Here is a 17,975-nt window from a genome sequence, read left to right as displayed (position 1 = left end):
TTTATCATTTCTTTTCATGATTTTCTTTCTCTGAATTACCTCTGTTTCCTACTTCCTAAAGAGTCTCGTTGTCTCCTTTTCATACACACACATTCTTAGGCAGATGTATGTGACAGGATAAAGCATCTGCATTGACCAAAAAATAATTCGGCAACTAACTATAGAAAAGCCAATGTCTCCACATCCTGAAAGAAATCATACAGCTGGACACTGGATATGGACTGATAGGTCAGAGCTCTCAGTATCCCATTTCATCATGCTTTCCTCTTGCAGGAACTGAACCATGGACTAGCATGAATTTTTTACCTTTTCTCAACCCTCCCTGGGAACTCACAACACATGAACATTAAATACCCAAGATCATTGCATATCTGTAAGTTCTGCAGCATGAAAGTCTCTGGACAATGCCGTCTTACCTGGTCTGTAACTGAGCTATCTGCTACACTTCTGTGAAATGAAGGGACAGATGTGCCTGGGCTGTCTCCCTGTGCAAAGCAGCAGAAGACCCTCTAGATGTGATAGATCCAGGCATAAATGTGGGGATAGGATCACCATGTTTTTTCTGTTATGGAGAAAATGACTAAATTCCTTGAAGATAATAACAATAATCATGACCATATATTTCATGTCTATAGTACTTTTCCATTTCTCAAGCATTTTCACATCTGTGGTTTCATTGGCTCTCCACACCAAACTTAACCTTGGTCTAAATATTGTGATATTTTTCTCAATGATAACACGTCTCTCTCTTTTATTTGATCACCATGATTATAAAGGAAAATATTGTTATCCCCAGTTTATTAATGAAGAAACTGAGGGTTAGAGAGAGTGATTTTCTCAGGTTATAAAACAAGAATTTAAACCCAGGAGATCCTTTGCAAATTCCAGTGTTTGTTCCTCCCCAGTAATCTTCATTTGGTACATGGGGAAACCAAGGCCTTTCTCTGGAGGATCTCAGAGGAAACAGAGCACATGTGCCTAATAAGCGAAATGTCCCACCTGATGGATAGAAGTCACAGTGTGAGGTGTGTGGCCATGGCCAATGAAACCTTGCCAAGCCTTTGTATGGACTGCAAATCCAGTTCATTTCCAAAAGCCAGGTTCCTAGAAAACGGGTTTCTGTTGACACTTTCCCTGCATGTTTTGTTATGCTTGTTTGTGTTGGCCTAGAGAACCAGCAGCCAGGGACAGCGGGATGACTTTGAGCCAAGGGGCGGTCTGTTCACACCCTGGGGACGGGAGTGTTCCACGAAGTTAGCTGCTGCTTGAAAGGACAGCTGCCGCACAGTCTTGCTCACTCCCCATTTTGTTATCCCTGAGATAATAAATAAAGGCTCATTCTGTTGTGTCCAAAAGACCCTTTTCAGAAGACCTGCTCTTGCTGGAAGTCTCCTGAGTCCCCTTACCTGATTACAGTCAGATGCTGGGCATTTCAAATTAAATTAGAACAAATAACGAAAATGAAAGGAGAGTGGGAAGGAAGAGGAACAAACCAGCAAAAATGGTATTCATTTAAAGTAGCCAGTGAGAAAAATGGAGCCTGAGAAACTCAACCGATACTGGCAGAGATCAATGTTTGTCATCTAGTCTTAAGCTAAAAAGAGCCATAAGTGAGAATTTGTAGGGATGACAGTTCTAGGTCAGTTCTGTTTAACATATTCTGCTGCAGATATGGCCAGGTTAAGCAGGAAAATGTTCTAAATCTAGATCTGAAGTCCTATGGCTCTTGGACCATGTTTCTATCTCTATTTGGTTAAATGATGGCATATGCAGGATATAAGGTTTAGCTCTTGGAAGGTGTGGAAAATACATGTCTCATTGCACCAATTTGTTTTCTCTACCAAATCCTGCTAACGTTGAAGTGTCATTTGAGCTCAAAGTTATCCCAGAGATATGCTTAGAGACCCATTGCTGTGTGGATGAATGGGAGAGTAGGAAGTAAATTCTTGCAATACGTGGTCTCGATACGATTCAATGTCAGCAAGACAAATTAAATGAAATTAATTTAAAATTAATTGAAATGAGCATGGACCAAGATTACTGTGTGTCCACTCCCAAAAGTGATTTCAAACATAATTCTTATTGTTCAGTTAAAAACAACTTGCAATCAACCAGCCTAACAATGCCCTCAGATCATTTCAGCCTCCTTGAGATCCCTTTACCTTGGTTATGCTTTCATCACATCTGCCTGATACTCTGCTATCCCCTATTTCAGTGACACTAAATATTGCTGGATCCTAGAAGAGCATTAAGATATTTGATAAGACAATCTAACTTCACCATACAGATGCTGAAAAAATATTTACATTTGATGTTTTTTCAATCCTATTAGCCAAAGTAATATATTGTACAATAAAATATATTGTTGTATTACAGTACTCTTATTGTGAAGAAACAATGAGCACACAGAAACGTAATTCATATTATATCATCTGTCAGTAAAGGAGGTCTCTTCAACAAACACCAACTCAATTTAGATAAAATAAGTTAATAGGTGCTAGAGGGCTAACTTCTCTTGTGACAAAAAGTCATCACATCACTAATATATTAAAGGCCAGTATTAAAAAGGAAAGAGAGTCAAGAGAGCAAAAAGGATGATTATATTTTGAGACCTTCCTGCATATAGCATTAAAAAATATAATTTGGTCTCACGGTTGTGCCCTAACATCCCTCCTCATATTAGTATCTATGGTGGCACAAGTAAAACTTTGAAGTCTCAAAATGAGCTAGTGCTGCTGAGTATTTCCTAAAAAATGTGACAACTCTTATATTTAAAATAAATAAATAAATAAGCATTGAGGAGTGATCAGTGAAAATGTCTCTTAAGCCCATTATTTTTAGCTGAGCGCTGTTATGACTGTTTCCATGGCTAAACCATGAATATGTTTTCTGCACAAGCACGGTCAGCTAGTGGCCTTAATTAGCTTTCAAATGGAGAATGCTGCGGTTTACCACTTATTAAACATCCACCACACCAAGTTACAATTTTGCCCTTCCACACCTCACTTAGTTGAGACACCTCAAGGAACCCTCAATGCTGAATAACTGGTGATTTAAAAATATGTACCATGTGTGAAGATCGGACTGAACACACAGGCTGTGAGGGGAGTTCACTAAAACCTGGCCAGATTTCATTTCTAGATGGAATGATACAATTTGTAAACTGAGGCAACAAGATAGGTCACCCAGAAAGAAAGAGATGAAGTGTATGCTCTAGCTAACGCACTGTCCTTATTCATAGGAATTCAACATATATTTAAGTGCTTGCATTGCATTCTGGATACTAAGTCTTCGTCTAGATTCCTCATGTCTAGGAAGGTGATTAAGTGGAATACAGGATCTGGTGAAGAAGAAGAGGACTGTCCCAGCATTCAAGATCTTTAAATAGTATGCCCCCTAGAGAAGGAAGAAAGTACAAAATTACTCATCAAACTAATCTACTCTTAATACAACATGCAAGTAGACTAACCTAACCAAGCTCATTTCACCAAGCATTTTACTCATGAGGGAGATGATGCAGTTTGAGATTCAATTGAGACAGAATTAGTTTTTCTGATTAGCTAGGTTGAGTGGTTAAGGTATGGTAATAATGATATCATTATTTCTTCTCTCCCCTTTCTCATTCAACATTCAGAGACACATTCTCTCTCTCTCTCTCTCACACACACACACACACACACACACACACACACACACACACACACCCTCACATATGTTTGGATTTGGTTTGCGAATCTTCAACTGGTGGTGTCTGTGTATCAACTTGTATACTCCCAGGGGCAAAAAAAAAAAAAAGTGAATTCACCTTTTGTTGAAATTCCACTGTGTATAAAATGGTCTTGAAATCTGAAGGAAGAAAAAAATCCTCCTACAAAGAGAACATGTGAAAAGGCCAAGGGAGAGCATAACTGAAAAAAATATATAAAAATGCAAATTTTCCTAAACTTCAGCTTTGGATGGACTGAAGCATAAGTGAGAACTTCAACAAAGCAATAGAAAAAGATGACAGCTCAGAGTTTCAGAAATTTAAGACAACAGCAGGATTAGACACTTTGGGTTGTCTTCGCACACATTTCTTATGGGAGTTAATTCCATTTGACATGCAAGACCAAAGCAAGATTACAGAGGCATAGCCCCATGGCGAGGTGTATGCTGTAGCTAAAAGCTGGGATTTGAATAATTGTGCAGGCTTACTCCAAGAATCAGGCAAGAACAGAATGAATGGATTATTACAAGGAACTTTGTACATTTTTAACTGCTGGACTTAATAAAATACCCTCTATGTGAGAATAGTGTTATGGTCGTCTGCACTTACTCTAGCTGAAGTTTGTGGTAGGATCTATCAAAAATGAGAAAAAACAGAAGCTGTTTTTTAAAAAAGCAAGAAAGGAAAAAAGAAATTTGAAATGAATGACTGGGCTGGGTCATGCCCGTATGATTTATAGAGAAACAAAAAATTTGGAGAACTTGAGATCAACATATTCGAGCCCCCCCAAAGTTACAGGGGATTCATTTCCTGTGCAAAGAAGTTTGAGGAAAGTGGAGAGTAGAGTTCAGGGAAAGTGGGCCACAAAAAGGTGGATTTTTATTTCACGATTTCAGCTCGTTAAGGAGGTCATTTGTTACTGGAAAAAGTTACTAACCCACACATCATTTTATATATATATATAAATGTGACCTCTTTCCTTGGAAGCCACGGAAGCACTTGTCTGTAAAAGGCAGAAAGAGTAACAGTTCCAAAGACTTCTCGCTGCTTAATTAACTTTCCAGTGAGAATTATTAAAATTCTTTATGTAATTCTTATTTAGAGCTCATTAAAGTGAAAGATACAAATGCTGGACAATGTAGGGTTCAGAGAAGCTTTAAGAAAGAAAAGTTAGTTTTGCAATAGCTGAGAATTATGAAAAGCTGTCATTAACGGTAGCCAAGTAGACCTTTCATTTTAAAAGTCACTGATTCAGATCTGAAATGATTAGATTTGATTTTCTCCCTTAATCTCATCTTCATGTCCTCCTTTGCTGAAAGCTCATTTCTCCTGGATTCCTTCTCAGCCCTAACCAGCCTAGTGGGGAGGGAAGTCCACCCAAAAGAGGAGGAAACTGCTCTGGGCCATGGCACTGGGGCAGTGCGCCCTCTGCTGGGAAGCCAGCCTGCAGTCCAGCTTAGGAAAATCCCCCCAAAGAGCCTGCCCCTAGGAAAGCAAAAGAGATGTGCATTTCCAATAGTGAAAACCCCTCATACAAGTGGCATCTCTTTCTCCGGTAAGTGGAGATTAGAGGAGGGACCTGGGAGGGTGTATGCGAAGGCTTCATTAAACCAGAACTCAAATGCAGCTCTCCTCACAAAACATGTCTGACAACACCAGCCTGCCATGTAAAATGGCATCAGGAATGATGAACACATTACAGATTTGTAGACCCTAAAATTAAACTCCACCTCATTTATTTCATATTTCAGCAGGGCTGAGGATGCCTGACAGTAAAAGTACAGACCTTTCTTGATAAGCCCCATGGTTTCCTTCTTGGAGAAGGGATTGTGCTCTGTACAGATGCATTCAGTCTTCTTGAAGCCTAAACTCTGCTTGGTGGGGCCAGGAAAGAGGAGGCATGTTTCAGTGTTCTGCAGAAGAAAGTCAAGAATCCTAGCCCTGAGACAGAAGCAGGTGAATGTATTACCACAGGAAGACAAAGAACTAGTCTTTCCCCCCTTACCTCTGTACATCATTTAGATCTTTGCTAGTAAAAATGTGGTTCACAGAGCAGCTGCTTCAGCATCACCTGGGAGATGTTAGAAAACCAGGAGCCCAGAACCCACCCTAGACCAACTGCATCATAATCTACATTTTAACAAGATTCTAGTAATTCATAAGTATGTTAAACCTTGAGACGAACCAGTGTAAACACTAAAGAGCTAAAGCATAAACAAAACTAGAGTATGGAGCTTTACAAGTAGAAGGAGACTTAGCCACCACCTGACTCCTTTGATAGAGAAACCAAGGTCCTGAGGGGAATACAACTCCTCACATATCTAAGAACATTATTTTATACAGGTCTCAGTTTTTTTGGTGTATAAGCTGGAACAGGGATATCACAGATTTTTGTAGCTATCCTCATCACATACTACAAAACCAACAGAATGTGGCACCAGCATTACAAGTGGCATAGGGTATAATTTTCCTGTGGGAGGAACCCTATCTTCTAATCAGCTCTGTTCTACTGAAATGACTTGTCTACATTCTGCAGGAATTGACATAGAAATGAGATTCTGATATTCCTTCTATCCACATAATGATTGATGAAACACATGGGAAAAATTAATTGAATTATATTATAATCTCCCAGGGAAACATAATTAGGTTGTGAAGCATTCCCATGAAATCCTAAAAGCCCTGTATCATCAGGCAGTGACTTCTACTACATGATCAATAATTATATTAATTATAGATAATTATTTTGATAGGATGGTGTGACTTTGGGGCTCTACTTATTCTTGATCTGATGCATTGATCCAATGGTGATGACTTGGTTAGAGCCAGAGCTGAACATAAATAACTCTTTTTGGGTCCCACAAAGCTTTATGATACTTATGTTAACTTGTACTAATTTGTAAATCCTTGCCACCAATTTGATGCTTATTCACATAATCTAAAGGGTCATACTTGTGCAAGACTACCAGAATAGTAATTCTATTCTTAACTCTATAAGAAACAGAAGCAAACTACTCCAGCAAGTAATAGGTAATATATAATACATAAAATCCAATATTCCCTGAACTTTCAAAATTCCAAGACATCCAATACATTCATTGTGTGTACACAGGACTACCAAGCACATCCATGGCAACTCTGAGGCAGTGAGCTAAGAGAATCAGACCCAAAGTTAACAATGCTCAGAAAGTTAGGGTGACCATGGGTCCTTATATATTTAATATCTTTCTTTGTAAACACTTAACTATGAAGGCCATCCCTGGAATACATTTCTCTTAGTTACACATTTTAAGCACAGGCAAAAACTGAGACTTCTACCTGACCCTCTTTCAACACTTTCCAGAGACAGCCTCAGTGGGTGTATATGCCTTCTCACCTAAATAAAAGTATCAATAAGAGTCAACAGAAAATACAGAGAGATTTAAAATAAAAGTAATAACTCAAGGGTTCATATAGCAAATACACCAGATTTTTTTAAGATGACAACCATTATATGTTAACTTTCCTGAATTCTCCACATAACTCAAGATAACTTGGGTTGTTTTAACATAAAGGGATAATATAGTTTAAAAAACCACAGAGTGACAGAAATAAAATCACTTATAATTACACATTATTTTATCAACATTTCCTTAAAATATTTGTAAAACATCTTGCTCACATGATGGTTACTATACGAGACATTGTAGATTTTTCTCTCAATGAGGCAGAGAAGTTCACCATTTAAGAGTCTAGATTTAGGAGCCAAGGCCACCTGCCACTTACCACTTATATGGCTTGAACAATTTACTTACCCTTGCTCTGTGCCTCAGTTTCTGCATCTGTAAAATAGAGATAAAAATAATGTATGCCTAATGAAGTTATTATAAGGATTTAGTAAATTAATAAGCATGAGGCAATTAGAACATGCATGAGAAGTACTAAGCACTCAATTTATAATGGCTATTATCATTATTGCCCTTATAATATGTGTAGGTTGGCTTATCTATGGTCATATTACAATTTATTCAAGAATAGACTTCTTTAAAGTCACCATCCAGAGGATCTGAAAGCCAAGTTTTAGTCTCCAACTTAAGATATGCTTTCTTAAAAACACATTTAAAAAAGAAAAAGCATTCAGAGGACTTGAAAACATAAACTTACTCGTTATACTTTGACAACACACACACACACACACACAAACACAGAATAGTAACACCTCACAGCTCATTGCCAGAAGTTCCCACACAGGGGATTTGCCATAAAGAAAGCTAAATGTGACCCAATATTCTAGTGAGAGATCTCACCATTCAGAGCAGAATAACCTGAGAACAAAATAATGCAAAAAGCAGCCCGAGGTTCCTTTGTCTTTCCTCAGGTAAAATCAATTCCGTTATTATCCACAGTTGGGTACAGAATGGCAGATGAGCAGCATGGCTTCATCCAGCGATACCTCTCAGAGAGTGGACTGCATGGGTAATATCTCACACCCTGGTTCACTCAGCGTTGTCAAGAGAGAAAGGGGGAGATCCATTTTAGGTACGGAAATTCATTCTAAGGAACTATTAAGACATTAGAGAAGAAAAAAGGGAAGAAAAATCAGGCCAAATTCATACAGAAACACAGATTCCAGCCTGCCCCTATCCTCAGACAGAGAGGTCAAGGTGATGGGCGATATTGCCAGGCCCACTATCTTTCTCTCTACTCTTTTGTAGTGGGATGGTTTAGCCATATTTCCTATGTGTGGCAAGGAAATGAACCATGCACATGATGCTGCACAGCAAAGTGAAACAGAAAAAGGTTCTCAAAGAAAGTAGGCAGACATGAATGTAGAATTGTGTAACCCAAGAAATAGACCAACAAGGATGGAAAGTAAGAAAATGACTAGGTCTTTCTTAAAACTGCAACAATTAGGCAATTGAGCTAACTAATAGGATCTGAGAAGATGTAAATAAGTTTTCTTTTTTTTATTAACAAAAGAAATGAGGAGGCAAATTTCAGCCCAGATGAAAGAAGGTAAATGATTCCTCCCCAAAGGCAGAGCCAAGATTTCTCAAATGAGTTTCCTCCTAAAAGAGGCAGAAGTAAAATATATGACTCCAGATGACATAATGTGCTGTGGCCTAAATGTAGGCAGTGATAGTATCCTATTCTACAGGACAAGCTATGGGTAATTGAATGCAAGGCAAAGCAAAAATATAGAAAAGGCCACTCTGAAACAGAAACATAAAAATGCAGTGTGTGTAACAGTACTGAGAAGGGTACAGCTTTGTAGAACTGATTAATAAGGAGAGCGGTGAATAGAACAGAGTGGATTTGCAGAGATTAGGATGTAGCAAGCTTTGTCCAGAAGATTGTATAAAGTTCTTATTGGCCTTGAATCTAAAATAAGGTTAAAAAAAAAAAAAAAAGGCCAGGCGCAGTGGCTCACGCCTATAATCCCAGCACTTTGGGAGGCTGAGACGGGCGGATCATGATGTCAAGTGATGGAGACCATTCGGGCCAACATGGTGAAACCCCATCTCTACCAAAAATACAAAAATTAGCTGGGCGTGGTGGTGCGTGCCTGTAGTCCCAACTACTTGGGAGGCTGAGGCAGGAGAATCATTGAACCCGGGAGGCGGATGTTGCAGTGAGCCAAGATCACACCACTGAACTCCAGCCTGGTGACAGAGCGAGACTCCATCTCAAAAAACAAAAAAAAAAGAAAAAAAAAGAAAAAACCTACCTCCCATCAGGAAAGACCCCCTGTAAGCTTTTGGTATATCTTAGTCAAAAAACTTACCTTTTCCCATGTGCTATTTAAAAAATAAAATTTACAATAATTGTAAATATTTGTAAAATTATAAATGACGTGCCATCAAATTTACTATAATGTGGAAATCATTCCCTCTGACATCTCTCCTGGAAGAGAGTAAGGGAAACATGGTACTGTATTTTTGATATTAGAACACATCGGAGACCAAACTTTAATTTTTGTTTTTCATCCACAGCATCTGAGCTCTGAGAAAACTCAGAGCTTCATAAGGCCTAAAGGTCAGGTACCAAGGTGAACAAGAATGAGAGTCAGAAATATGAGATGCCAGATGAGTGGCAAGAACTTGGGCATTTGTATTTCAAACTCTATGAACTTCACACCACAGCTTGCTCTACCGTGAAGGGCAATATCACTTACTCCAGGTTCCAGGCAACAAAAGATCATTTTTTTAAGGAATAAAGAGAAAAAGGAGGCTGGGCATGGTGGCTCACATCTGTAACGCTACCACTTTGGGAGTCCTAGGTGGGTGGATCACTTGAGGTCAGGAGTTGGAGAACAGCCTGGCCAACATGGTGAAACCCTGTCTCTACTAAAAATACAAAAATTAGCCAGGCATGGTGGCGCATGCCTATAATCCCAGCTACTGGGGAGGCTAAGGCCCAAGAATTGCTTGAACCCAGGAGGCGGAGGTTGCAGTGAGCTGAGATTGCACCACTGCACTCTAGCCTTGGCAAGAGAGCGAGACTGTCTCAAAAAAGAAACAAAACTAAAAAAAAAAAAGAAAGAAAGAAAGAAAGAAAAGGCCAGCCTACAAATACTCAGGAATCCAAAACCAAAAATAAAATTTATAAAACACAGATGTACAGACAACAAATGATAATTGCCATGGCTTTAGGACCAGAAAGCACCTTTGGTGCATGAGCTTCTCTCCAATAATCATAAGACTTGGGACCGTCATTAAAGAGGCAATTAAATGTGTAACCCTTCGAGGCCGTAAGAACTACTCAGCCAACAGCCAGTGGTCCCCTCCTTTGCTTTAATCTGAGAGTTCTGAAGATGCTTCTGTGATCAGTGCTGTAATTTGTTATGTGGGGAGTTTGGAAATCTTGATGTCAGGGAGGGTGTTTGTGTCTCTAGGTAGGCAAGACAGAAAAATAAATAAAGAGAAAAGTAGGTATTTTAGGAATGCAAATGCAACCAAAAATCAGGAAACCTTGGCCAACAACAGTTCTCAGACCTTTCACTTATTGTAGGAGGGAGAAGGGAAGGCTTCCAAGTGTTAGACAATCCTAAATCAGGAAAAAGTAAAAGGCGTATTTCCGTGGCTGTGGAAGAAAGTGCTACGTACCTCAGGGAGCCTCAGTCCTGTCTGCTTCTTTCTTTCATTTTGACTTCCTCGGTCAGCTTTTCCCTGTGGTTTTAGGGAAATTAAAAAAAAAAAAAAGGTAAGAAAAAATACATATATACATATATATATATGCCCACATACACACGTATGCATGTTTATTATATTCCTTTCTATAAACAGAAATAAAGACAAAAGAAGAAAAGTCTCATTTGCAGTTCAGTTTTCCAGCCTCAATTCTGGCTCACCAGTGAATCTTCTTATATACAAAGCTGACTGAAGGGAGGGGTGGGATTGAATAACAAATTTATGTGATACAATCACATCATTTACAATCACATAATGGACCATATCCCAATTTTCAAAAGGCATAAAGTATCCTCATTAATACGATAAGTGCAGCAGTCAAATCAGCACTGTGATTTTATCAGGGTTTTTGACTGTACATGAATTAGAATGTAAAATGCATACAGAATTTTTAATGGGAAGGCTTTAACATTCATTGAATGTATTTCTTACTGTCATTTGCATCACATTAAAGTGAAATTCTACATAAAAGGATAAAGAGAATATGTCCTAAATTACAGTTTTTCCATAGTTGTCATGTCCACACATAGAAAAATCTGATTCATAAGCTTGAACATGATCCTAAATCTGAAAAGGCTGCACTGGTTCCCTATTTGTTTGTAGGTTTTATGTGGCTGTCAGGGCTGGAGAGAGCTCAGTAGGTCAGATTGTCAGGACAAAGCTAATAAAGATCATGGCAGGGCGGGGGAGCCGGGGAGGGAGGGTGATTGTATTCACTGTCTCTACTCTAGCACATTATTAAATACTGTGTCTGCATTTTTCATTCTATATCAGACTACTAAAAAGTCACTCATGTTCCTTAGAGGTATTCTGTCGCTCCTTTAGAAAGCTTCTATCTTTGGTTTAGTTAACTGCAGAGAGTTTATGAACATAGAGTTAATGTTTTATAAATCCAATTCTGTGTATTCCACCATGAATAAACATGTATGACATTGTTATGTACATGGGATATTTTGCAAACACTTGCTTCATATCGAACATGTGTATATCTACTTATAGGTTAAAATATGATCCATATGTCAGACGTTAGTTCCAAAATAATGGCAATTGGGTTAAGTGTGCCTGGCAGCTTCCATATACTGAGGCAAAAAAAAAAAAGCAACCTGTCATTCCTCATTAACCCCACATCACACAGAGAGAAGTCAATGATTGGTACATAACAGTTGACACAGAATCTTTGGAATCTGAGAGAGCATTTTGCATCCTAGCAGAGGCCAACGTGTCACCTGCCAAGCTAATGAACTGGGAATAGAGCATGGCTGCTACATACGTACTGACTACCTGCACACTGGCTAACACACCTGGCCCATGCACACGAATTCGTACCAAATAACATCACTCTGTTATCATTTTAGAGTCTGAATAAGACAGGATGCTGCCATACAACCAATAGAAAAACAGGCATGGAACTTGGGGTGAAATAGTTCCGATTCATAATAAGACCTACTAACGTATTTTGTGCCTAGAAAAATCATTTCATGTATGCACATGAAATGGGCCCATGTGAAATAGATGGATCTCGGCATGGCCAGTCTATCCATTATAATTATTTTATCTTTTATTGGTCAGGACGGGGGCGGGTAATGCCAAGTCTTTCTCTGTCTCCCAGGCAGGAGTGCAATGGCCTGATCTCGGCCCACTACAACCTCTGCCTCCAAGGTTCAAGTGATTCTCCTGCCTCAGCCTCCTGAATAGCTGGGACTACAGGCATATGCCACCAGGCCTGGCTCATTTTTGTATTTTTAGTAGATATGGGGTTTCACCATGTTGGCCAGGCTGGTCTCGAACTCCTGACCTCAAGTGATCCACCTGCCTAGGGCTCCCAAAGTGCTAGCATTACAGATGTGAGCCACTGTGCCTGGCCTCCCAAAGTGCTGGGATTACAGCCATGAGCCAGCATGCTCGACCTAATCATTTTATCTTTAATAATTTGTTTAATTACTTTATCTCTGACAAAGATCAAAGACTGCATATCCTAGTGTTCAGCATTCATGGCCAAATATTGCTGTTGATTCCTGTTCATCTTCCTTGAATATACATAGCATATAGATATATTAGCTATATTAATAGATATATCATTGTCAGAAAAATGTACCCATTTCTTTCCATGTCTAGAAACAGTTTCAAAAACATTTATAATGACCACAGATTTTACCTGGGCCCTTTCTTCTCTCTCTCTCTCTCTCTTTCACCTCCTCCCTCCCTCCTTTCCCCTTTTCTGTCCCTCTGTCATTCTTTCTGTTGTTCTTTCATTTCTTTCCTTTCCCTCATATTCTTTGTATTAAGATAGGAATTGGAATTTGGGCCTTAAAAAAAAGATGTATTCAAGTTCTGATCCATTTTTAGCCATGATAAAATTGTTCTCTTTAATACCAAAAATACTTGTCAAATGACAAGAATTCTGTGGAGAAGACATTTATGGGTTGATGGAAAAGTGACAAAAATTATCAGATAATAACATTATTCCATTTAATTTATTCTGTTCCAAAATTACGCATATTACCACTAGAGACTTCATAACATCCTTTTAGTGGGCAGTTCACCAGTTGAAATCTTGGCCCTTGCCCTTCACTGGCAGGAAGAGCCTTAACAAGCCCTTTATCCTAAATATTTAACTTATTGACTTATTATAAGTACAAAATAGACTGGTGTGCATTGAATATCTAGAGTAGTTCCTGCAACAATGTATACCACTCATACAAGTTAGATCTACCATGCAAGTTATTTCATGTTGTTTTTGTCAAAAGCAAAGAATGCTCACACCTTTTGTAAGAATCAAATTAGATGCTATGAAACCAGATTTTTATCTGTGACTAGACTGTATGACTTCAAGTAAGTGAACAACATTTTCTCCTCCAATAACATTAGGATACATATCTTTAATTTCCCTCCATTCCCTGCTGATTGCCTGGAGATGTTGCCAAAAGTCAGAAACTAAGGAAAACATATTAGGACAAAAGAAGACCATGTTCTTTACTTGTGATTAGGGATCAGCAAACAAAATTTATTTTAAAATCTCTATCATGTCATTTGTTATTTTCATAATTTTATCAAGAACATGGCTATAAGTTGATCATTTGAGCTGCTATTTCTTTTACTTAAAAAAAAGTATAAGGTTATCTAGTTCTAACTTCCTAACTCACTGTTAGCATAAAACAAATACATTTTTATGTAATTTTTGTACACAGAAAGAAAAAGTTCCTTCTGTAAAAATACGCATTTGTAGATCATGGAAAAATTGATTAATATTTCCTCAAACTCCACATTTGTTTCATAATACCAGGTATGTCTAAAGCACTGCCTTCTTTCAGATAAAACCAGTAATCTATCTCCGTGGAGTCAAATTTATGCCATGATTTTTTCTTGCCTTTTAAATGCATACTACTTATTTTATAGGACCCTATTACCCATGCTTCATTGTTTTCACATTTTCTTCTCATAAGAACAATTCTAGTATTGCTGCTTGAACTTTTTACTTTACATTCACTTTCCTTTCCTCCTGCCAGCCCATATGCAAGTACTACCTTAGTCTTCAAATAAACATACAGGTCAGATGGTTCACTAGGTTGTTACATTAAAACCTTAAAGATTTTGTGTCTCAAAAAATTCTTGATTCAATGTAAATTATTGAGGCATAATAGCTCAACTTCTCCTACTGGTTGTTTCATTTCTTGCTTTATTGGAAAGGAATTGCTAATTTGTAATGTTTCTATCTAAACCTGTCAAGTAAAATGTCCTTAATACTGTTTTTTATGCTTCTTTGAGGCTTTGTCTACAAAAAGACTGGAGCTGGGTCAATAATGCTAATAGCAGCAGCAGGCAGGAACAACCTAGGCAGATAGGGCAGGTCCCTGGTAAAATCCCACCTTCAAGCCAAGGACAGTTTAAAGCCTAGCTACAAGTCCCAAGTAAATCCATGGACCACATTGAGAACCTCTCTTCCCATTTGGCATGCTTTTCTCTGACTGATCCCCACCCTTCACCTATTTTTCATATACCTACCCTTCCCTAATTGGTGTTTTACACTGTCATGCCCACCTTTGAGTGGTGCCTTTGTTTCAGCATTTTTTGCGTATTCACAAACCAGTCAGCATGCACTCCCTCATTCTGACCCCATAAAAGTCCAGGACCCAGTGACACTGAAAGAGGCACCACTTGACTTCAGGTGGGGGACCACCCTCACATCCTCTCTCTGCTGAGAGCTGTTTTATCACTCAATAAAACTTGTCTCTGCCCTCCTCACCCTTTGATTGTCAGCATAACCTCATTCTTCTTGGACACAGGACAAGAACTCGGGAAACGCCGAACATGAGTATGAGCTGTAACACAGGTGGACTGGGGCATGCCCAAGCCAGCTGTGGGCTGAGCCAGTGTGCAAGCCAGGCACGGCCTGGTGGGCCAAGTGAGTGGCACACCTCCTGTGGCAGGCCTGGGGCTAAGCGAAGCCCGGTCAGGGGCATCATCAGCCAAAAGTCTCCAGCTGGCAAAGTGATCAAGAAAAATCCTGCATCAATACAACTAATTTAACTGAACTTAGATTTATATTTCCTTCTGATAATTCAATTGTTCATGTACAACCTTTTCCCGATAAAATTTATTTATATAAGCAGCCAAAGTCATAGGCTTGATCTTGGCAGATACAAAAACTTATAGGTTTCTGTCAAACAATTTTAAAAAGTTATAGAAAGGTGAAGAACCAAAACTATGCATGCCATTTATTCATGTATAGCTTAATTTCAGTAATGGCTTATATAACATGTTGGTATGATGATAATTAATATTCTTCATATTCACACAATACTTTTATTTCTGACTATGCTTTTTTAAATCATCTGAACATACTCTAAAAAGACTCTGTATGTACCCACCTTTCTTTTCCAGATAATAGATGGGTTTTTTTTCATTCTCTTATTCTACCAATCTATTAATCTTGATTAACTTCCGGTTTACTCTAATGTCTCAGTTGCCCATTGGGAAACTATTCTTCAATAAAATACTGTATATACCATACAGTGTATTATGACATTATGATTGTCTTTCTTCCTTTATGCATCTGATTTACTCTCTTATTCCATCCTTTGATTTTTGACAGGCAATGTGTTATGATAGTAATCAGGCCCATTTATGATATGTTCAGCATGGACCAGAGAGTCAACACATTCAGGGATGTCCTCTGCAGATTTATGAGGAAAGGTAGATTTAGACTCACCTCTGCCAGAAGAGTTGACATAGAACTTTCTCTCCCACCCAATGCATTCCAGAGGAACTTTAGGATGCCCTGAAAAACAGAAGGCAGGGTGTCAGGCTGAACCCATTGCATTCATCAGATTCTTCTCTTTCAAAAGAGCTAAAAATGAAATCAGACAATGTTCTCAGATGCTTTAAACAAAAGGAATTTTCTGGGGCAGCATGTAAAATAATCTTTACAAATTTCACATTCTCTCCAAGTCTCACACCCCAGTCTACAGATGCTGAGATTTCCCTAAAGTATCGAAGTGCCAAAGGAAAGAACTTAAGCAAAAACTCAAGTTTTCCTATTGCGCCATATTTTCTTCTGTCTTTCTAGACTCTGCTGAAACCCAGCAGCAATAAGCTTTTATAGCCTTCTATTCTGTCAATCAGTTCCCATTTTCAAATATGAAAAAGGCCAAGGAAGTTTGTCCTCTTTTGAATTCTCAGCTTCCCAGGTCATGAAAATGTCCTTCTCCTCATTGTAAGTAGATTTGTGTTTTACCCTATTCCATATCCAACAATCTATTTCATAGTTAAGGTACACCATAGGTATAATACCTTGAATGTATTTATGTGAAAGTGTGGTATTTTCTTTCTTTTCCTCCCACAAGAGGATATGTAGAAGAGAACTGCTATCATTACTTATTTTTATTCCTTCTGCTTATATCCAAAGAATTTCCAAACTAATCTAGTTGAGGAATATATGTCCTTACAAGATTGCTACATCTTGTTCATTGCTACCTTCTTCATCCCAGTCAATTCCTTCTTTATTCCGGGCAGCAGTGCACTGACACTGACACATTGATGTTCTCCTTGTGAGAATTAGCCTATCACATTCATTTATATCCACTTAATTGCTGCTGCTATTGTTTAGTCTGTTAACTTCCAGCTAGGGTGCAATTCACGTGAACACTGGGGAAGCACAACCATTCGATTAGTTCTGCAAAGTAGATTAAAATCTTCTGGCTAATTGGAGATTGTCCATACCGCTGCCTTCCTTCCAACTCTAGGTTGAACAAATGTTACGTGTTCAAGGGAGGGCTCTTAGTTGGAATATGGAAGCCTTGACTGGACCCAGTAGCATTTTCTGAGCATGTTTGTGTATGGGACACTGTGCTAGGCACCATGCCAGCAATTATCACCAATCTGGTCTTTGCCTGCAACCTGCAACTAGTCTTTTGATTGGCAGCTTGCCTTCTTCATTTTCATAAGGAGCACATGCACACTGGAGAAACTCCAACTTGGTACATGGCTAAATCATTAGTATCCCAAATTGGTAAGAATTTCATTTTGAAACACAAGCAGTAAGAAAAATCCTATAAAACAGTTTGTCTAGTTTGGGGGAAAATGATAATTAGGAATATGATAGTCTCACTTGCATGATCCAAAGCATTATGCCATGTTGGACGTAGCTAATTTATTCAGAACTTATCATTGATGTAATAGCAAGCATGCTTTGGTTACTAAGCTGTCGCGTAGTTGTAGGCAACAAAGTCCCAAAGCTTTCTTTGGCAACATGTCACCATTCTGTGTACATTAAGCTGAGGTGCTTTAAGATGTTTAATTACATTTTATCTAAAGAAGATGGAAAACTCACATATCTACTTGAGGAATTCTAAGACATAACAGTAGGTCAAATTTCTTCATTTAATTTAAAATGCCTGTCCCAACTTGGTTTTAGCCCACCTCACTAGAACATTTTCTGACTGTCCCCTAAAATGCAGCTGAATAAAACTGGTAGCTCTCGCTCAAATGCATTAGATTATGTTTATGGCCTGGTGTCCTTATGTTATTGTTCCAGCTATCTGGGGTTTGTGATAGGTGTGATGGACACATACAGGAAGAAGTACTTATGTTGATCTGGGAGT

General features: G+C 38.6%; 1 long non-coding RNA gene across 1 annotated transcript in view; it reads right to left on the bottom strand.

Moving 5' to 3' along the window:
• Positions 1-17,975, bottom strand: part of LINC01122 (long intergenic non-protein coding RNA 1122) — a 543,014-nt gene that overhangs the window by 33,284 nt on the left and 491,755 nt on the right. Inside the window, exons 8-11 of the long non-coding RNA NR_033873.1 lie at positions 16,085-16,153; positions 10,792-10,854; positions 7,501-7,527; positions 5,493-5,647 (exon numbers count right to left, since the gene is read on the bottom strand). This is a non-coding gene — a long non-coding RNA (long intergenic non-protein coding RNA 1122). The remainder of the gene's footprint in view (positions 1-5,492; positions 5,648-7,500; positions 7,528-10,791; positions 10,855-16,084; positions 16,154-17,975) is intronic.

The sequence above is a fragment of the Homo sapiens genome, chromosome 2 (genome assembly GCF_000001405.40).
Source record: "Homo sapiens chromosome 2, GRCh38.p14 Primary Assembly".
Classification (NCBI taxonomy): domain Eukaryota; kingdom Metazoa; phylum Chordata; class Mammalia; order Primates; family Hominidae; genus Homo; species Homo sapiens.
The sequence above is the reverse complement of the archived record's forward strand: the minus strand, read 5'-3'. Positions and strand labels throughout refer to the sequence as shown.